General features: G+C 39.6%; 1 long non-coding RNA gene and 1 pseudogene across 1 annotated transcript, besides 2 other annotated features; one reads left to right on the forward strand and one right to left on the reverse strand.

Annotated features, from left to right (window-relative positions):
- On the forward strand, positions 255 to 1,206 carry LOC100422671 (cell division cycle 73, Paf1/RNA polymerase II complex component, homolog (S. cerevisiae) pseudogene; annotated as a pseudogene).
- Positions 8,313 to 16,961, reverse strand: LOC107986614 (uncharacterized). The gene is made up of 3 exons (XR_001744216.3): positions 15,835 to 16,961; positions 13,864 to 14,061; positions 8,313 to 11,288 (listed from the first exon to the last, which is right to left on the reverse strand). It is a non-coding gene; the product is annotated as an uncharacterized LOC107986614 (long non-coding RNA).
- Positions 15,269 to 15,446: a silencer, noted in NCBI's record as "fragment chr6:80579415-80579592 (GRCh37/hg19 assembly coordinates)". NCBI's record gives its function as "represses an EF-1alpha promoter that drives an FKBP-Casp9 reporter gene in an ReSE screen in K562 erythroleukemia cells {active_cell/tissue: K562}" and the evidence as "EXISTENCE:reporter gene assay evidence [ECO:0000049][PMID:32094911]".
- Positions 15,435 to 15,544: an enhancer, noted in NCBI's record as "active region_24771". NCBI's record gives its function as "activates an Ori minimal core promoter by ATAC-STARR-seq in GM12878 lymphoblastoid cells {active_cell/tissue: GM12878}" and the evidence as "EXISTENCE:reporter gene assay evidence [ECO:0000049][PMID:35858748]".
- Positions 16,962 to 22,284: the final 5,323 nt, after the last annotated feature.

Below are 22,284 nucleotides of genomic sequence, written 5' to 3' on the forward strand. Positions count from 1 at the left end.
AGGGAGGTGAGGATGGTTAATGGGTTAAAAACAATAGAAAGAATAGATAAGACATAGTATTTGATAGCACAACAGCAGGACTATAGTCAATAATAATTTAATTGTACGTTTAACACAAAGGATAAATGCTTGATGGGGTGGATATCCAATATTCCATAACGTGCTTATTTCACATTGCATGCCTGTACCAAAATATCTCATGTACCTCAAAAACATATACACCTACAGAAGTTAAAAATTTAAAAAAATTTTAAAAGACTAATTTAGATGATTATATAACTGACCTGAAATAGAGGAGTTTTATGGATGCTGAGCTAGATATGACCCAAGATATTGTGAGCAAAGACAGTATATGTGGAGAATCAAGCACAGTAAAATGTTTCCAAGACTATTTTTGCAATTTTTCAGTCTGTAAGGACCAGAGAAGAAGGGTATATACTTGTACAGTCACCGACTGAAATGCAGCACCCGTGGATCCCATGTTATATTATACCAAAAAACCTATCCCAGCTGCACACAACAGACATGACCAGGGTAGATTCAAAGGAAAAGAAACAAGGCTTGAAACTCAACACTGCAGCACTTAGCATGGTAGGGCACAGAAATCTCTAACAGAGGGTGCATCTGTCTATAAGACATAGACCCCTGCAGGATAGCCAGTACTGAGATCAGTTTCCCAAGCAGGACTTCCCCTAAACCAGAAGAAACAATCTCAAACACCCATTATCGTAAGTCCAGCAGATACTACCTCTTTAATAACCATGTTTAATGCAAAGGACTTTCTACAGAATCTGAGATTTGGCCCATCAGATGAAGAGCAGAAACTAGGCTGCCAATGAAATGAAAATAAAATGAAACTATAATTCAGAGAAGATAAGCACAGATGCAGCCAGAGGGCACTACAGTTAGTTGTCACCATTTCTTACAGAGTAGTAGACCAGTACCTTAAGTATATAAGTGTATGACTGAGGCTGGGAAGTGGTGGGACCAGGTTTTGCAGTTTTTGTACAGTTTTGAATTGTGCACTAGTTTGAAACTTTGCCATAACTTTTGCTTGATGGTTGACATATTTGCTAAAATTAAAGACTTTCATACCAAATGTGATGAAATTTTTCTAGAACAAAATGTTCAGAATCAGATGGAACAGGATTAGAACTCAGCTATCACAAATCTCATTTGCATAGACCAGTTTGCTTACAGTTCTTTTTCTTTAATTTGGATTAAGAAACATGGGTATACCTTGATCTAAAGGCTGAAACTCAAGATTTAGGAATTTACCAGAACATACAAATGAAAAAGATCACAGACTGATCTTTTATAAGACATTATTTGATGCTTTGTGTTTCAAAGGGATAATGACTCTTATCTGTGTAAGCAAACTTACTGGCTTACAATTGTATTTTAATATTTACCTTCTAGTTTGTAATGGAGAATGTATATTTTTTGAAAGTTTTTTCCCCATTGGTTAAATTAGCATTACTTAAAATTTATTTCTTTTGAAAATAAATACAGGGTAGAAATTTGTGTATATTTAGAGGGTATACGTCTCTCTAAGCCCCCTCGCTTCTGATTTTTCATTGCTTTCTAGTTCCTTTTACTGAAAATACTATGTTGTCAATGGTAACAAACTTTAGTCTCTGAAACTTCCAGAACCAAGCAAAGGAATCTTAATGAATTAAAATGTCAGCCTGCGTGTATATTTTACCTACACTTTAATCAAGAACAAGTCTTTGGCAGTAGAAGAAATACTCGGCCTTCCTAAGACTTATTTACTTATAATGAATACATTTAATGAATGTGCATTCTTCTCATTGATTTCTGACCATAATACCTTTTAATTGAAAATCTCAATACACAAATTAAAACTGAATAGGCTGTAGTATTTTTTATTTTGGGAGTCAGTGTATGATTTGGGAGAGGGAATATGTATCAGCTCCAATAGAGTGTAACCTTTAACTTTCTGGTCTTTTCTCATAAGTTCATTATGGCATTTTGAGCAATGTGATCCCATATTGACCATGTTACTAAGCCCCTTCTTAGTCAGCTTGGGCTGCCATGACAAAATGTTATAGACTGGGCGATGTAAACAATAGATGTTTATTTCTCACAGTTCTGTAGACAGGGAAGTCCAGGATCAAGGTGCCAGAGGATTCAGTTCCCAGAGAGATCTCTCTCCCTGGCTTGCAGTCAGCTGCCTTCTTGCTAGCTCCTCACATGGCAAAGAGAGAGAGAAGGAACAAGCTCTTTGATATGTCTTTTTATAAGGGCACTAATTCCATTGTCTGGACTCCACCTGATAACCTCATATGAACCTAATTACCTCCCAAAGGTCTCATCTCCTAATGCCATCACACTGAGGGTTAGGGCTTCAATATACAAATGCGGAGGGGTGGAAATGTTAGCAGCATAATGCATCTGACTCCTGTGGTACCAAATTATGTTACCAGTAGTGAAGCCAGCAACCTCAATTCCTGCCTCCTCAGAAGAGAGAATTTGACCAAGGGGCTTAGGCAGAATGAGAAACCAAGGCAAGTTTTACAGCAGGAGTGAAAAATTTATTTAAAAGCTTTAGAACAGGAATGAAAGAAAGTACACTTTGAAGAGGACCAAGCAGGTGACTAGAGAGATGAAGTGCATGGTTTGACCTTTTGACTTGGGGTTTTATACACTGGCATGCTTCCAGGGTCCTGTGTTACTTCTCCTCTGATTCTTCCCTTGGGGTAGGCTGTCTGCATGTGCAGCGGCCTGTCAGCACTTGGGAGGGGCCGCATCGCAGTGTGTTTACTGAGATTGTACACCACTTGGGCCTTCCCTTACCAGTTGAGTGTTTCTAGAGGAAGGACACATACCAGTTACTCTGCCATTTTGCCTCTTAATGCATGTGCTTCAGACTACTCATCCAACTCCTGAGATTTTATTGGGAAGTTGCTGATCCTCAGTTTCAGGCTTTTTCTATCTATTGGGAGACTGCCTTTCTCTGGCACTGGCTGTGATCAATTATCACATCAGAATTGATGGGAAAAACTGAATAGATAAACCATACTCTCAAAAGACGCATTGTCAAAATATGTCAAGAAATGAATTTGATTTGGGATAAGTCATTGCTGGTTGCCCTGTTATGGATTAGAGTGGCTCTCTGAAGTAGGCTCAAATTGAGTCCCTTATGGTAGGCTACTCCAGGTGTCTGCTCCAGTGGGACCACCAACTGATGCTTTCAAAGATTTAGCAGTTGCCAAATATGTTAAGACTCTGGGCACTATACTGACTTCTGTTCATGAGTTTGCTTCTAGCAGGACCACTCATCCCACAGATGTAGCCCTAGATCATTTTCAACTGGGAGACTGTGTCCTCCTGAAGACTCTGAAAAAAAAAGGACTTGAACGCTGACCTCCTGCCAAGTTGACAAGGCCATTCAAAGTGCTGTCAAATATTCACTCATCAGTTAAGCTTGCTGGAAGAAAGCCATAGGTGCATCACACTCAGGTCAAGGCAGCACAACCAGAAGAAACCAGGAAAACAAGGGGCTTGGGAGCCCTTGGAGGATCCAAAGCTACTCTTACACAAAAACAGTAAGTGAAATAAAAATGTATGTCCTACCACATTTATTTAAGAATGCATTCCAATATCAAATGGCAAATTTCAACAATGCAAAAACCGCAATTACTCTTGCACCAACCTGAAGCCTGTTTCTCCAATCACCTGTAGGGTCTGATTGATAACTTCGTACCCAGAGGTCCATGCTTCTTTCTTACTCAGCACTGCATTACACATTATGTGCAAAGAAATAATAAGAACCCACAAGCTTACAAGTGTAATTTCTATTGACCAAATGACCTCCCTAGGTTAAGCCACCTGTTGCACTTACATTAATTCCTCCTCTAAAGTAGAGACCCATATTAGTAAAATTATACAACAGGCCACCTGACTTCAACGAACTTTAGAACACCAAAGCAGAATTAATCTGGGCACTTTCAGGGACTGGTTTATAGACCTGTTCTCTGGGATTCCTAGTGGAATTCAGTTAATCCTGGAAAGCATTCTTAAATTGGGCCTTAATATTCTTCTTTTGTCATGGCGGCCTACGTACTAGTAAAACTTACTATGTATTGCATAACCAAAGGTTGCATGAGTTTGACTATCAAAGCAAGAAAGGAGATGCCCATGATCATTGTTCCTAAAAGAAACACTAAGGACTATTTCCTTAGGCGGGTCAAACTATTTTATTCTACAGTCGCCCCTCATCAACCTTGTCCAGCAAGAAATAGGCAGATGAGAGAAAAAAATCCCTTTGTCTGCAATCCCACAAGATTGTGGAATGACCTTTGACAGTGCAGAAATTGTAGTAGTGAAAGGAAGTCTAGCATGACTAGTTCCATTTTGCTCCTAACCCCACCACTGCCCCTAGCACCCTAAACAATGATATCATTTAGGTCAACTGCTTTTGATTATTTCTGCACATAGGCCAAACTAATTATGGGAGGAATTTACAGTTTACCTTTAAAGCAAGGATAATAGTCCCTTCCCAAAACAAACCCCTGAGGAGATAAGGATGGTGTACACACAAGGAACCATGTTATGTTAAAGATTTATAGGAGCATTGTGACCTGACCAAGGACAAGGCAGTTTCACAACCCTCCCTGAGATCCTTGTTGCCACCCAGATGTCTGTGATCATTGATCACCTCTTGATCTCAACCTCCTCCCTCTTCACCTTCCCCAACATAAACAGGGCCTAAAATTCTGTTAACTAAAGATGGTTCTTTAGGACATCAGTACACAATATTCTTGGTTTACTGGCTGTCCAAAATAAAGTCGCCTTCCTTCCCCTAACACCTTGTCTCTTGACTTACTGGCTATTGTGCAGCAAGTGATATGAGCTTGGACTTGTTAACAGTTCAGCAATATATATGAATAAAAACAGAAATTATATATATACATACATATATATATGAGGAGAGGGAATATGTGTAAATGTAGGTGAATCTAGGTAAAAGCTATATGAATGTCAATTGTAATAATCTTACAGATTTTTGGTAGGTCTGATTCTCTTTCAGAATAAAAGTGTATGGATAATTTAAAAAATGTTGAGAGTTCTCTTCTGAGAGGTGTTCAAGTAGAGACTAGATGAATTCCTGAGTAATAGGGATTTTTGCTTGGTTTATAAAATGAGACTGGATGATTTCACTTTGACCCTTAATGTGATGATTAATTTTATGTGTAACTTGGCTAGGCCACAGTATCCAGATATTTGGTCAATCAGCAGTCTGAATGTTTTTGTGAAGGTATTTTTTTTTTACATGAGATTACCATTTAAATCAGTAGACTTTGAATAAAGCAGGTTACACTCCACAATGTGGGTAAGGTTCATTCAATCCATTGAAGGCCTTAGGAGAAAACACTGAAGTCCCAGAGGAAGAGAGAATTCTGCCTTCTGACGGTCTTCAGACTGAAATGGCAACATCATCTTTTCCCTGGGTCTCAAGTCTTCCAGCCTATCCTGCTTATTTTGGACTTGCCATCCTCCATAATCACATGAGCCAAATACTTAAATCAATGGTTTCTGTTTCTCTGGTGAACCTTGACTAATAAGCTTAGATTCTATTTCCAGCTGCCTCCATGCAACTCCTAATATTCTTCGCTGTTTCTTCATCTTCCCAGAAGCCCCTTACCCTCCCTCCCACTCCTTGTGTTCAGGGCCTGATATGTAATAGAAGCTCCTCCCCACTACCAATTATGTAATGCAAGGCTAACTGAGAAGAAGCTCAAGGTGCAGTCTAAAAACCAATATATCATTTGTTATTCTTATTATTATAAGTTTTGCAATTACCACGACTGCTATATTGAACATGTTAGAATCATGGCCAGCCTGAAGCCTAACCTCTGAATGATCCATATCTAATCACAGAGTATCAGTGTCTTAAATGTCACCCCACTCCACTGCTGTGATATATGCCTTCATTAAGATTAAGGAGAAAGAATTTAAATATCAGAGCTGAGCACTGAGCAATCTTGTCATTTCTATTGATCACCTAATGAAAATTTATGGCATTTAACAGTGAAAACATCAGTTTACATAACGATGCTAGCTTCTACCACTGTGCTCATGCCATTTCCAGGAAAGCCTTCATCATATTTACTGTAACAGTGCATTTTTAAGGGTCTTCCAACTGCAGAAAGCACACTATAGCTGAAGAAAGATGGGGTACTTTAGTTCTGCCGTTTTGTTACCAAGTGATGTAAATAAAATTTAGACACTGGTCAGCATGATGAGAACCCAGAAAGTTGAAATGTAGAGACTGGTTTCCTGCAGATGTGATATTTTAGAGCAACCATAAAAAAATCCAAATAGGGAGGATAAATGTAAGGATAGAAACAGTCACAGAGTAATAAACTAACACCTTTAAAAAAAGTAAAGAAGTGTATCACATAGTTGAAATGGGTGAGAATTGTGTCACCTACAGAATCTAATTTATAGTCATCAGAGGAAATAAAAATATTCCCAAGAAGCAACTGTTCCTGGCAAGCTGTTGTGGATGCCACTCCTGGCAACTGTGACCCTGCCATAATTTCAGAAGTTAGACATCATTTGCTAAACAAGAAACTTCCAATTTCTTTTTAAATTAATCATGAGTATGGAAAGGGGAAAAGGTTCACTGTCCTCGATTTTCCAGATTCCTCTGAGCTCCAAAGCACACAGAGGGCAACAGGCATGCTATCTTTTCAGAAAGACACTCTCTGACCTTCTTATCTAAAGCAACACATGCACCGCATGGCTTTCCAGCCCCTCACTCTGCTGTCTTCACAGAGCCTATTACTGCCCGAGAACAGTAGGCTGGCAGCTGGTAAGGCCTACGACCTGAAGCTGGCGGCCTGCATGTGCAGCCTGACTCTGTGACTTGACAGCTGGGGGGCGGGGTGGGGAGGAGGAAGACCTTGGATAAGGTACTTAATTTTCCTGTTCCTCCGTTTCCTCTTCTGGAAAATAGGAATGTTAATAGTGCCTATCTCATAAGATTGTGAGAATTAAGTGAGTTACTATTGAAAGCCCTGGGAGCACTGTCTGGCAAATAGTCATACTCTGTGAAATAAAACAGGTGAGCAAAATGTATTCATTGTTTATCATGTGCCCTATTGGAAGATGAGCCCCACAAGAGAAGCACCTTATCTTACACTCTATTGTACCCTCAGTGCTTATGGCAGTGCCTGGCCCATGGTGGGCCTCAGTAAATACCTGCAGAAGGTAAGGCTGGGAGCACTGTCTGCTTCTTTTGTGCTGCTTTCCTGGTTTCTCTCCTCTCTTACTCAAATGACCTCATTTGGGTGATCTGGCTTATGTGTTTAGTTAGAAACTCATTAAAATATTTTATGCCAACAAATTCTCTAGGAATGTAATCTTGTTAATCCATTCATTCATTAATTCATTTATTAAGATCATATAGTTGAAGGCCTATAGTGTCTCCTGACTCAAATATATGGCCCAGAAACAATACTCAGCGTGTATTTCAACTATAAGATAATGAGATGTCATTTAAATAACCACTCTAGGCTAAGCCATTGGGTACAGAGGCCAGCGGGGAAAAGGGATAAGTTAGGAACAGTCAGGGTTGAGATCAGGAACCAACTTTGCCATTGAACATGCGTGGGAGGGGTGGCCTGCCTTCCAAATCACAAAATAAAAGGGATCCAACCAAGCTGGCAGCTTTATCCAGGGTCTTCTGTGGTGAACAGAGTGCCACAGAGCACCCTGCAGACGGGGTAATCATCAGGTCTGGTCCTAGCTAAATGGAGGGGCAAAAGGACCCATTTGAATTGAAACAAGTCCTTAGTCAGCAACTGAGCTGACTCAGGGTTCAACTCCCAGGAAGTTCACAGTTGAAGTAGTCTGGGCCTGACTAAGAATTCACACGTTCTCCAGCTCCAGACACATGACCTGTATTTTAGAACAGAGTCCAGTGCCAGCAGGAGACTGGAGAACGAATCAGTGACCAGTGTGCACTGCAGTCTGCAGCCATATTGCAGTCTCCATGAAACCCTTGGTTTTGGTCTTTCCTCATTTAGGGGGCTGGGCTTTCATGTGCATTTGAAAGCCAACATCCTTTAGTTCTTGGAAATGTCACTTATTACTTCTTTAGCAATTACCTCCTTTCCATTTTCTCTCTTCCAGAAATTCTTAATTAAATCTATTTCCTAGTTTGATCCTTTAACTTTTTTATTATTTCTTTTTCTGTTTTCCTGTTAGAAATCTGTAGGGGCTTTTGTTTGTTTTGCTTACCAGTCTATTTCCTTAAATTTATCTCCTAGCAATTCTACTGATTTCAGCTTTCAAATGTTAACTTCTAAGATCCTACCAGTTCTTGTTTTATGGATATAGTGTATTCTCATCTCCCTCTGAGGAATGTGGTTATAAAGTGTTTGGGGCTGTTACTTTTCTTGCCTGTATAGTTGCTGAATCCTTTGAGTTCCTCTTTAGTTTTTCCTTTTTTGTCTCTGCCTTGCTTCTCGAAGACTTCCTTGACATCTGTTCCTCTTTGTCAGTCCTTACTCATAAGAGTGAGCCCCTTGAGAGTGGAGTGAAGCTCTGTGTTCAAGGCTAGTCCTTATTTCCTGGTTAGCTTCACTGTGGGATTATGGGTAGAGATGGCCATTTTGTTGAGTGACCCTCAAATACTGGCATCTGTAGGTCTGTTCTCCTGCTCAATCTGTTTATCCAGAGAGCATCCTCCACTCTCCTAGCTGGAGAGCTAAGGCTGGTCACCAGAGAATGGAGGTTGAGTTAGGCAGGGGCTCACTACTTGGTATGTAGACTTTCACTGAATTCCCTGCTTCCATCCTCTTGCCTCACCTCCTCCACTTCTCCCAACTGGTGTTCCTGAATCTGTCCCTTCTTTGGGAACTTCAGAAAGTTAATCAAGTCTTTCTAGCAAATTCTAAAGATCACAAGGAATAGCTTACTCAGTGGGATCATTTTTACAGGGTTGCAAATCAGAACTTAAAGACATTTTTCAGGCATCGCCTTTTGAGGACAATGATTAAAAGGGGCTAAAAAAAAATCATTAAGAGCTTAGTAATAGAACAGCCTGATTGTGCAGGCTAGGATATTCACATGCATGCTCCCAGACACTTTAGGGTATAGGACAGGGCATGGGGTGGGAGTGGAGGGGCAGCCCAGGGACTTCCACGTGTGTCTTGTTTTGGGTTCATAAGAGGAGACTATGGGGTAAATCACTTTACCTTCACTAGTGAAATTAAATTAGAGGGTTAGAGTGTGGGATCTTTAGGTTCCCTTCAGCTCTAAGATCATCTGTTCTATTCCACAGTAATGAAGTCATCTCATTTTTATCCCTGTAGATAGCTAGGATGAATCATATACAGACATAAATTCTACTTCAAGACATTAAGGTGATATGACATGAATGTCACAAATAACAATAACATCTCCCACATCTTGTGGTTTGAAGGGATAAATGAAGAAGCAGTGTTACCTGTGCTTTGCACTTGTAGTTATGTGAGCTTTTCTGTCAGGCATGAAAAGGCAAAGGCTGTAAAATGGTTTCTTTTAAGGCTTGTTAACATTGGAATTTTATATTTCAAAACCTGCATTATATATTTAGGAAATAAGAGTGAAACAAACCAGTGTGGGTGGCTGGGGATGAATTTGAATGTGTAATTATACACATCACTTCTGAAGGGCAGCTGCAGGAAGCATGTTGATACGCTGCTCTGGGGTCTATGAGATTGGTTGCTAATGAATGCTTAGCACACACACATTTACACACACAGACACAGTCATGCATGACCTTGGCATCTGCCCTTGGAAATGTCTGGAAATGCTTTCAACACTGCCTTTGTATACAGTGAAGTGTCCTGGTAATCAGTCTTATGAGATACTGGGAACTATTTCAGCAAAAAATAAAAAAAATAAAGAGAAGGTATTATTCCTCTGGAAAACCTTTGTTCTTCCATAAGATTAGTTCCTTTCCCTCATACCTCCTTGGGATAAGAGTTTTCTCAATTAGAAATGTTTTTATCTGCAATTTTTAAGGGAATGGCTTCCTGGCACCCTTGCAGGTCTCCACACAGGCCCTGGAGGTGAGGCTCAGCTGCAGCCTGACTTGGCTTGGTGAACGAACACCTTGTCATGTTCTCAGGAATTTGGCATGAGTGGCAGTTCCGTGCGGTGCTGTCAAGGCTGTTGCCATTCACCTCCCTACCTTGTGGGAGGTTGTCACAAGGTCATTTCCCATCTGTTTTCCTGGTTCTGGTGAGGTATGGGACTTTCCATCTGTCCCCCTTCTTCAGGAACTGTTGCAGACTATAAAAGTGCTTGGCTGGAGCCTAGAGTTGTTGACTTCTCAGTCACAGGGTGAGGAGTGACCCACTGCTTGTGCTCCCCATCATCTCCCTCCTTGGCTTGGTGTCATCCTGTGGAACAATGGTGGCAGGTAGCTGACACCATGCTGATCTTTTATGCTGTCTATATGAGTTATAGATTGGCTAAATCCATTTTGGCTTGTTGTCTCCTTACCAGCCGAATCTCTAGAAATATGGCCAGCAAAGCTAGCAGCCGCCCCCATGCTATTGCTTAGTGACTGCCTGGCTGCTTGGTAGAAAACTCAACCAGCTTAAGAAAGAAGGGATGTCTCCTTTCCTCACATGCCAAGAAGTCAGGACACAGGCAACTGTTAAGTCAGCGACATGATGTCAGGGCTGATCCACTGCGAAAATTTCTCAGTCATCTTCGTCCTAAGATGGCTGTTCTGGTTCTGGATATCAAATCACATCTGCATTTAAGGCAAGATGAAGCAGTGAAAGCAGGAATCATCATCTGTCTGCTTTATTATGAAAGCAAAAGCTCTCTCAGAAATACTCCAGCAGACTTCACCTTGTGCACCATTGGCCATAACAGGATCATAATACCCTGAGCTTAAAAAAAAAAAAAATAGTTTCTGAAAAAGAGGAGCTAGATCAGCATGATGGGCCTACACTAGACCAGACTCGTCAGAGTACACATTTGGGCTGGTCTCCTTACCTTTCTGAACCAAACATGAGTTTCATTGGTGGGACATAAGAAGAGTATAAGTTGGATAGGCAACAAGTTGTATCTGCCATTTGAACCAGTGTTGCCAGTCCCAGCCTCTTATCCCAGCTCAGTAGGGAAGACCTGTCAGTCGCTGACTCTACTATCTCTTCTTGCTTGCACATCAATTATATCTCATATTTGAACTGACCAGTGAATAACTGGGGCATTGCAAACACAATTTCCAGTTCTTCAGAAACTGTAAATCCAATCTGAAAGAAAACAGTTGAGAGTTGTCACGATCAAGGACTATAAATGCACCAGCACCTGAACTCCTTCCTTTTCTTACCTGACAACATCAAATGTTTAGAAGCAAAATGACATTATGTGAACATTGAGAGTCTGATGCCACCATAAGCTTACCCACCTTTGCAGTATTCCAAATAAAATAAATTTCTTTCAGGTAAGAGTACTACTATATCCCATCTTGTTTAAGTAAGAGATAATTGGGATTATTGCCTGCGTTTGGGAAATTGATACAAGAAAAAGCCAACCTACTTTGTCTGGAGGGTAGAAAGTTATTCAAATGCTAAGATAGGAACTAATCCCTCAGGAGCTAGGCTATGAGAACTTAGCCTACCTTTTCCTTCTCTCCTACCTAACTCCTAAATATCCCTCAAGATGCTGCTTAAAAATAATTTTCTTTTTCATGTGTTTATTATAATGCTTACCACTGGCACACTGGAATTATTTACTGAGACAGTTGTCTTACCCACTACATTAGGAAATTTTCCAGGGGAACAGTTTTGTTCCAAACACTTAGCACAAAGTAGAATGCACAGTAGTAAGTTCTTAACATGTTTTTGTTGAATAAAATCTATTTATACCTTCCTTGATGGCTGTCAAAAAACTATTTAAAACATGCATAATTAATAATGTAATTAAGTTCTATATCTTCATTGAAGCACATCAAAATAAAAAGTGCATTTATGGTCCAAAACAAAGACACAGGTAAAAAGCAAATTCAAACCAGGAAAAATATCTGCAACTCTTATCATATAAATATGATTTATTTCCTTAATATGTAAACCGTTATAAATTGAGATGAAAAAGATCAATCAGCCAAAAGATAAATGAGCGAGGACATGAACAGACAGTTCACATAAAAATGACCCTTAGTGAGATGACACACAACCTTACCCATACTTTTAAAAATGCAAAGAAATGATAAGTGAGAAGCCATTCTCACTTATCGTGTTGGCAAAAATCCAAAAATTCTGTAATATACTCTGTTAGTGAGACTGTGGGAAAGCAGGCACTTTCAACATTTCTGTAGGAACCCAAGTGGTACAGCTCTGAGAGGGGACCATGTAGCAGTTTCCATACAGTATTACAGATGCTTTCACCCTTTAACTCAATTAACCTATAACAGGGAGTTTATCCTATGGAAATCTCTGCACAGTTACAAAATGACATGCACAAGTGATGTGTTATGGTATTGTTTGTAATAGCCTAAGAAACAACCCATTTCCATAAAGAGAGGACTGGTTAAATAAAGTGCAGTATGTCCTCAAAATGGAACACTAGGTGCTGAAAAAGAATGAAGACAGCCTCTCTGTTACATTGTGGGAAGGTATCCAGGATAGATGGCTCAGAAGAAAAGTTCAGAATAGTGAACACATTATGATGCCCATAGTGTCATAAAGAAGAGGAAAAGAATATGTATTTGTTTTGGTTTGCAACTGCATAAAGTACTGGAAAGGTATACTGTAAGGAGGGGGGCTGACCGGGTGGATAGAATAGAAGCAAAACTCAACGTATAACATTTTTATTTTAAAAATCCATGAATTAAAAATAATAATCTACCTGTGAATTATTACTTATTAAAAATTAAAAATTTTAAATCATACACCTTGCACATAGTGTTTACAGCCAAACTGCATGTGTTTAAATTTCTGCCTCACTTACTACATAAGTGAATTTTGGCAAATTTCTTAACCCCTTTCTTTTTTTGTTGATGAGTTAATAAATACAAAGGAATCAAGCCTAAAACACAGTGAGTTCTACATGACTGTAGTCTGTTATTAATACTGCATTTAACAGTAATAATTTTGAAGAACACTTTAACCCTTTAGTGATAAGATTTCCTGAATTCTTCTGATATTCCTAACTTTTTTCCCCCCAAAGGTGGTAAAATGAATGCCAAGAGAAATACAGTAATATCAAACAGCACTGAGCCAGGGCCAGGTACAAATACAGGAGCCGACACTTGGGCATTGCTAGATCATTCCATGTCACACATATGGAAACCCTAAGAAACAAGGTCATTGATTTCTCTTTCTTTTTAACAAATCAAAAAGAGAATATAATAAATTGGATTATGAGGCATTATGAGTGCGCAAAGTGTTGGAAGATGTGCAAGACAGCTATAAAACACAGCCCCTGAAAGTATCTGCTGCAATTCTTGATGAAATCAATAGACGACATCTTTCCTAGATACCCAGAAAACGGGAGTCGCTGTCAGGCTGGGAGTTTCTAGAGAAAGACTCTAAATAAATATGTGGCCACAGGTTCCATAGCACTGCTTGTATTTACAGTTTTGAACACACCCACCCCATGGTTGCTTATTTTAAAAAATAAAAACTCACGGATGCAGAAATGATATAATCAGCAAGGCACTGTCAGTAAATTTGCCAACTCCCTTTGGATGGCTTATGTTGCCTGTTTCTGTGGAAAATGAATTTGTGCACGACATTTTAATGTTTGGATTATCAGGTAACGCCGATTCAAAACAGCACAAAGAAACAGCTTAGGCATTTTTCCTTCTAATCAGAAAAAGCAGCTTACCACATTGTGGAGAAATTGTGCCCCCTGCTGATTTAACTTGATATTAGCGTCATTGGTCTTTTGGGTTGTTTTTTTTTTTTAAAGGTCTGCAGTGCCGCAGGGTAGTGCAGTGTCTTCAAGGTCAGTAATTTACATGTCCTCCTCTCGAGGCTAAGGCAGCCTCTCCTTGCAAATAGGAAGTTTTTGCTTGATCGTGACCTTGGGAAAAAGGAAGCAAAGGAGGAATGACTCCTTTTATGAGCTTTCTGGAGATATTTGTTCTAAGAACCTTCTCAGTATTCCCCGTACCTTTGGTGACTCTGAATAAGGAAAGCGAGCAAGCAGTGAAGAGAGAGGAGCTGGTTGCGGGTGAGCACACGCCCCTTGTAATTAATCTCCACTTCAGGACCAAAAGACAGTAGAGCTCCGTTCACTGATGGAGTTTATTCAGTCTGCGAAAACTATTACCACCAATGAATAGCAATCACGATGGGGCATTCCAGGTGCTCAGATGTCATTCTGTTAACTTGGTGTGAGCTACCCTCTGAAAGGCTCCAGCCCTGGACAATATTGTTGTTAACCAGGGATGTAGCATTAGTAACGGCAGACTCTTTCTGTGGCCCTCATTTTTATCTTGATGCTTTGTTCCCTTCTTTTTTATTGCCTCTCCACCTGGGCTTTTAATGTGTTTTTCCTAGGCTGGTACTTATTTCCAACAAGCTGCCAAGTAATCTCTCTGGAAAAGTCAACGGACTTTTTTTTTTTTTTTTTTTCTGTTCTTTACTTGTGTTTTTCTTTTTCTGTGTATTTTTCTTTGTGTGTTTGTGTGTGTGTGTTTGCTTGCATTTTGCTCGTGTTCTTTGCTTTGTTTGTGTTCTTCTGATAATTGCATCTTTAGGAGAAATTCCTGAATGAACACAGAGAGGACTTTAGCAACGCATTCGGCCTTGGAGAAGATAAAGGAGGAAATTTTCTAAGGTGGGGAGGACCTTTCCTCACGTCTGTCCTAGACAAGGCCACAGGCTGCAGGGCTGCGTCTCTGCCAACTGTGACAAGAACAGCCTCTTCCAGTCTACGGGATGCAATACTTTGTCCAATATTCAGTTAACAGGTAGTAAATATTGTCTTTCCCTCCTCTGTACCTTAAAAGGGCTTTCAGTCTTTCCAAGGGCCCTTTGCTCTTTGGTTAGAGTTGCCAGATTTAGTCAATAAAAGTCCAGGGCACCCAGTCTGGATTTTATTTTAATATGAATTTCAGATAACGATTTTTTAAAAAGTATTTGTATTTGTTGTTTATCTGAAATTCAGATTTAACTGGGCTGTCGTACTTTACCTGGCAACCCTATCTTTGATTGAACTCTGTTTTCACGCTGTTTTCCAGGGCATTCGAAATCTAGCTGAGTGACTGCTGAGCCAGGGCGCGAGGTCCTGGGCCTTGGAGCCCAGGTGGCCTGGGCGGTGCGGCTCCTCGCGCTGCTGCCTCAGGCTCTCACCTCCCTCTAGCGGCCGCCAAGGACATCACACACGCCGAGCGGAAGCCCTGCTGGGCGGTGCTGCCGGCTCCAACCCCGGAAAGGCCACGTCCGAGAGAGCTCACCTACTTTCTCCTGGAGGGGCTGCGGTGGGGGCCTGCACAAGAAAGTGGCCTTACTCCCAATAGCGGAAATGGAGTTTCCCTTGTTTCACTTAAAAATACAATGGAAAAAAATGCCTCTGTACAACAGCCTAAGCTGACAGTTGATGTCTAACCCTGGGCTGTACTCACCACTAAACACTGATAGATGTTGTCATTTTCATGCTAAAGAAACCCCACTCACCCCAAATAATTTGTCAAAGAGTACTCATGTAGACAGCAAGTTTTGGAAGGTGGAGATGCTTATCTGTCTTCTGTGATGTGCCTGTGCCTGATAGCTAGTAAATAAGTTTAAATGAATTGACATTGAAATACACTACAGGCTTGGAATTAAAAACAAAGAAGAAACCTATTCCTACCCTCAGAGAATGACCACTTCATCGCAGAGGAGATGATGGCTGAAGTGCTTATGCTCATCAACGACTGTGGAATTGGGTCTTGGAATTTTAGTTCCTCTGTTAAACTTAGGAAATGGATGGCTGGAGGTCTGCGCCAGCCGATGAGGGATTGATACACCTGAGATTGCTTTACAAAACACTGCTTTTAGTGTTTAATGACACAGGATAGTGTCTACAGCAGTGGCATGGAGCCAGAACATGGGTTCTAGAATCCAGAGATGACTCGCAGGTTCCATCTGAGTTCCTTAAAGGACAGTTTCTGCAACGTAGGTGTTCCATGATTGCTTGTTGAATGAATGAATAGGAGTATCTATCACAACCATGTCCACACTCATTGGCTTTAGTGGAGTCAAGGCAAGGTAGAGATATTAATGACAGAATTCTGGTGATAGGGGCCCCTACCACCAATGGCAGTATTAAGGGGTGATTAGGGAGAAGGGTAGCTTTTAGTCTCTTTCAAGCCACGCAAACAAAGATCACAGAATCTAAGCAAAAGCAAATGTCTTGCTTTACAGTTTCAAGACAAAGCCCCTGGAAGTTGCCCCCTTTTAAATAGATTGTCCCTTAGCCTTGCTACGCAAATACACTGGATCCTGTAACCATGTTAGCCCTTATCTGTAATTTCACAAAGTCGGGTGGCAGGTATTTGCTCAGGAAATTGAGACATTAGGTACTCACACTTTTAAAAATAACACATAAGGAAGGCAATAATAATTACATAAGATAATATGTTCCAGGCTCTATATCTTGTTATCTAATTTAATCTTCACTGTAACCCTGTAATGTTATTATTATTGCCCACATTTTTGCAGATGTGGAAATGTCAGCTTAAAGAAGTGAAGTAACTAGGCGAAGGTCATAGAGACAGCCAATATGCAAATGCACATCTGCCTTATTCAACTCTTTCCAACATACAGCGCTGGTACTTGAGTATATGAGGAGGCCTGTTTGTATACCTCCGAGCAGAATCAAATAGGAAATGTTTGCTAGAAATAAAAAGGAAGCATCAAAGGAAAATATGGAAGGGTCAACCAAAGGGTGAATGGGCTTTGTCCTTTCTTCGCTGGAGGTCTGAGCTCAGAAGCCTGGGTCTCAATAGCTCATTCCTTTAGAAATGAGGTTCTTTACACTTGGACTCAGGGAGGGGAACATCACACACCAGGGCCTGTCAGGGGGTTGGGGGGTAGGGAAGGAATAGCATTAGGAAAAATACCTAATGTAGATGATGGGTTGGTGGACACAGCAAATCACCATGGCATGTGTATACCTATGTAACAAACCTGCACGTTCTGCACATGTATCGCAGAACCTAAAGTATAATGTTTTTAAATTAAAAATATATATAAAAAAGAAATAACGTTCTTTAGATAACAAAGGAAAGGGCAGTGATTCCAAAATCTTTCTCAGCTTTTAAAATGCACACACTTTCAGGCCTTAGCTCCTGGGTATTCTGATCTAGTAGTACTGGGATGGGGCCCTGGAATCTGAATTTTTAGCAAACATGGCAAATTTGAAACCCAGGAGATGTGATGTTATCTGATGTTAATTCCTCCTCCAATCAACCACTTAGGCTAAATTCTTAAGGTAATTTTCTAACAAGTATTTGTATTATTATTTGTATAAGATTATGTTAGGAAAGGAACATAAGGCACTCATTGAATGAACTGGTGTATTTCTAGAGAGCAATATGTCAGAATTCTGATGGTGTTTTCTATGCCATTTCACTGGCATTTGGCAGCTTATAACATAGCCCCAGTGGAGATGTAAACTCCTTAAATCTGGTAATTCCACTTTATATTGGATTATAAAAGGTTATGTGGGGTAAGAACCTCAGACCGTACAAAGAACAGTTAATCTCATGAAAAGAAAAATTTTGGAACCAAAATGTAATAGTGGTTGTTTTAACTCTATGTTCTTTCAGTCATTTAGATCCTCTACTCATTCTCTGAACAAGCATTTTTTAAGTGCTTACCATGTTTCATGCTATGCTAGGAGCTATGAAGAAGGGGGAATAAGAGCTGCTTGGTTTCATTAACTTTAGTGTGATACACCTTCTGAATCCTGTGAATAAAGAGTCTGGGTAAACTAAGGTCAATACATAAAAATAAAACAGATTACAGATGTTCCCACAGTGAAAATGATCACTGTGCACACTGGTGTTTACTTTAATGGACACGTGAATGGGAATGGTGTCAGCACCACACTCTGAGTATCATCAACTGACTCATGAGAAATCCAGAACACTGAAAGGAGGTAGAGAGGCTGTGTTACCTCTTCAACTTTGAGCCCCATCTTGCTGAATCAGAGAGTCAACTGAATAGGATTAATATTAAGACCAAACAAGGACGGTTTCAAGTTGTTTGACTAGATATTTCCTCCTTTCTCTCTTATCATATGTTGTTTTTCCTAATTATTTAACTCTTAGGCCTTCCAATTCTATCCCTCCTTGTTGATTTATACCATCCATACTCTTTTGGGTAATTAAGATTTCCTTCTTTAGTCATCACCCCAGCATATAAATTTCATTATCTTTAACTTATCTTACTTATCTCAGTGTAAGAAACTCATCTAAATACACCTATCCACTTCCTTTTGCAGACACGATCATAACATTTGTAATTTTTCTCGGTTGTAGCTGAATAAGTTACTTAGAAGATGATTTTACATGTTCTTTTTATTTCTTTACTTATCCTCTGTCTACATTTCTGACATGTGCACATGCTCCAATATCTAAGGTTAAATCTTCACTGGTTGGGCAGGTGAGTAGTTGATATACGACTAACAGGCAATTCTCCTTCAGGAAACTCAAGATTGTGTAAGTATGCCTGATTCATCCCTGCTGCTGCAACTGAAACATGTAATAAAAGAGCAACAACAAAGAGAGGCGATGATGACAGCTTAGCTGCAGCATCTTGTTCTCTAGCTCAATAAGCCAACAGGGAAACTATGACCCTGGTGAAACAAGTAGCTCTCAGAATCATTCCAGTCATTCCAAAGAGTGATGTGATTTTTCTTCACATGTTCACAATGAAGATACTATGTTGTTTAATTGATGCTCTTTTTCAAAGTGTGTTCTCTTGTTTCTATATACCTCCCTTATAAGGCTCCATACTGTCATTCAACTTAATTTCTGTTCAACAGAGATTTCTTAAACACCTCCTACATGCTAAGCACTGTGCTAGGAGCTATAAATATCATGAGGTGGATACAGACATGGCTGTCTCCTGGTACATTCTTTTTCTATCATTCAATCACATTCACCTATTTTTAAATATGTTGATAATGAGTCAGGATATAAGAATATAAGGCTAAAAGCACGGGCTCTGATCAGAGAGACTTGGTGATGAGCCTTAAGCTTATCACTATTATGGTGGTCATAGGCTTACTTGCATGTACTACTGAGCCTTTGCTTTCCCATTTGTGAAATAGAGGTCACATTAGTACCTACTCCCCAGAATAGTTTTGAGGATTAAGTGAGATAAGTGCTCCAGTGTCTTGAATTTAGCAGTGTTAAAAAAGTAGAAGTTCTTATTAATTAATAATATGATTTTCCTGAGAATGTAAACACAGACTCACTAGTTCTCTGCCAGAAGGTGAGGCACCTCCTTGAGCCTCCTAAGAAAAGCTTTTGACAAAGGTTGAAACTGATGTGTAATTGAATTCATAACAAGCTTGTTGAATGGTCAACCAGGAAATATTAAGGTGAAGATTTCTCATGTCAAGTGAAATTAAGAGAATATGAACTAGTGCTGTGACCCCCAAGCTCCCTTTCTTTAAAAGACATTTTCTCTGATTTATTCTGAATAAAACAAGTCTGAGAGAGGCTGTGAAGTAATGGTTCTGTGGTAATTAGGTCATCTTCAGAAAGTGCTATATAAAATATTATGCATTATATATTCACAATGCACTTCATTAGCATGTTAAAAATTCAGAGAATACTAGCAGAAAAGAAGCCGGTTTTAATTTCTTATCATTTCCCAAATTCATTTGTCTGTAGGATTCTTTGTTTGTTGAATAGCATCAAGTAGCATCTCAAGGAACACCCTTTGGGAAATGCTGCTGAGAGAAGCTAAGAACTTGCTTCACGATCGTCAAGCACTGAAAAGGATTCATACTTGGGAAACTGGCAAACTGTTTTTCTGACCCTGACCCTTGCCAGTAGTATAATCATGGGCAAGTCACTTGATTTCTTCACATGTAAAACAAAATGATAATATATCCTCCATGGACAGCCATAGAGAGAAGATTCATTACAAAATGCATTTACGGTAGGAACAGAAGTTGACAATAAAAGTTAATATTGTCACAATGTGCATTCTAATTTACACGAAACTCATTGCAAGGAAGCAGATCTTAAAAGTAGTCTTGATACTGGAAGACTGGGAAGAGTTTGGGTGTGCTCAGGACAGAGCTATTGACTAAAGTGTGAGGTATGTGTAGAGAAAGATGAGGAATCAAGGCTGGGAAGACGAGAAAAGGAGGAAGATAATTTGGTGCTGGGGTGCTGAGGACACTAATAGAAATGGTGAAAAACAAATGTGAGTAGGGGTGGCTGAGGGGTAAAGCCAGACTCTTTTCTGACATGCTAGTTTGAAGAGCAAACAAACCATCCAGTTGGCAATTTCATTTATCTAGATCTTAGGAAAGAGTTCAGAGCTTGTGAAACAGGAAACATTAGCATATTATTGTGAAATTTTTGAGAGAAGAATCATTTCTTATTCAGCTCCGTATCTTCTGTGTTCAACCTGGTGTCTGGTGCGTAGTAGAAGGTCTTAAAAGTTTGACAAATGAATTAATCAATGAACAAATTAATTAACTGCAAGTCTAACAAATCAAAGTAGATTCCAAGCCATATAACCGAAGTGGAATAAAACACCAGTTAAATGAATGAAATGATAGCTGAACCCCTGGAATTGGGAAGATCCACAATTAAAGGTGCATGGAGAAAAAGAAGAGGACCAAGGACAAAACAAAGAGGTACAACTTATTTGATGGCTGGCAGGAGCTAGAGAAAACAGAGTCAGAGACTGAAGAAGAAATGAGTGTTTTGCAAAAGGATCGGAAAGAAAGGAGAAGTTGGGTGTCAATGATATAAAATGATTCTGGGAGATCAAGTGGAATGAGACTTATCTTCCGTAAATATCACTTCTTTTAGCTATGCTTTAAGAAGAGCAGCATGACTACAGGGTCCAAAGCCCTCATGCCCGAGATGTGGATGATACAGCCTGTGTAGAAGGAAGACCTCCCACCCGTACCCCACACATACACACATTGTTGGAATTTAAACTTAAAATAAGCTCCATAATAGGAGGAAACCAGAGATCTAACTTGGTTCTTCTCATTTTGACATAGAATGGTTCTTTTTAAGCTTTTAATCATGGAAAATTTTAAACATAGGCAAAGGTAGGGAGAGAAGGGTAATGAACTCCAGTGTAGTCATCACCCAAGTTGGACCATTATCAATTCATTGTCAATTTTGTTTTGTGTGTACCTCCACCCACTTTCCCACACACACACTGGATATTGCAAAGCAACCACCAGATACTGTGTCATTTTACTCATACATATTTTTGTGTTTCTAAAAGTTTAAGGATCAGTCTAAAATTGCAATCACAATAACATTATTGCACACCAAAAAAGTCAAGTTATTTTTTAATGTCACAAATAACCAGTATTCCAACGCCACAAGTTATCTTGTTCAAGGTCTTTTGCCATATATATATATATAATTTGTAATACAACAACTAGCACCAGAAACCAAAATGTCTTTTCCCCAGTAAAAGGAGTGGTGGTGTCATTTAAATTTCCTTGTAGATTAGTCTTTTCTCTGCAAGCATTTCTGCACATATTGGTCACACAAATAAATGATTCATTTGCAGTTTTGATAGCTTTGATAGTTAAATACCTTTGAGGATACTACTTATACTAATAAAAACATTCTTATGGTGCACAATGGAAGCCTTATTAATAGGTGAGGAGGAGAGCCTTTTGGGTGTGGACAACTCTATTGCCAGCACAATCTAGAGTCAGGTCAAGGGGAAAGGATACAGAGTCAGGTCAAGAGGAAAGAATACAGAGGAGAGAAGAAAAAAGAAGAAAAAAAATCTTTGTTTTAGAAACTCATAGCCAGAAAAGGAAATCTGAAACAATGCTTTTTAATTCATACTTCCCTGGAAGAAAAGAAGACACTAAAATAACAGAGGAGCTAGCCTAGAGAGAGCACACAGGATAGGCATGCTATCTAAATTAACTCATTTAATCCTCACAAAAATGATCTAATGTCAGTACTATTATTTTGGAAATTTAGAAGCAGAGACAAATGGAGGTTAAAAATCCCCATCTCCAAAGGAGCATAACAGTATTTTTGCTACCTGGAAAGAAAGGCAATGGTTTTCCTATATATGTCAGGGA

The sequence above is a fragment of the Homo sapiens genome, chromosome 6 (assembly GCF_000001405.40).
Source record: "Homo sapiens chromosome 6, GRCh38.p14 Primary Assembly".
NCBI classification, from domain to species: Eukaryota; Metazoa; Chordata; class Mammalia; order Primates; family Hominidae; genus Homo; species Homo sapiens.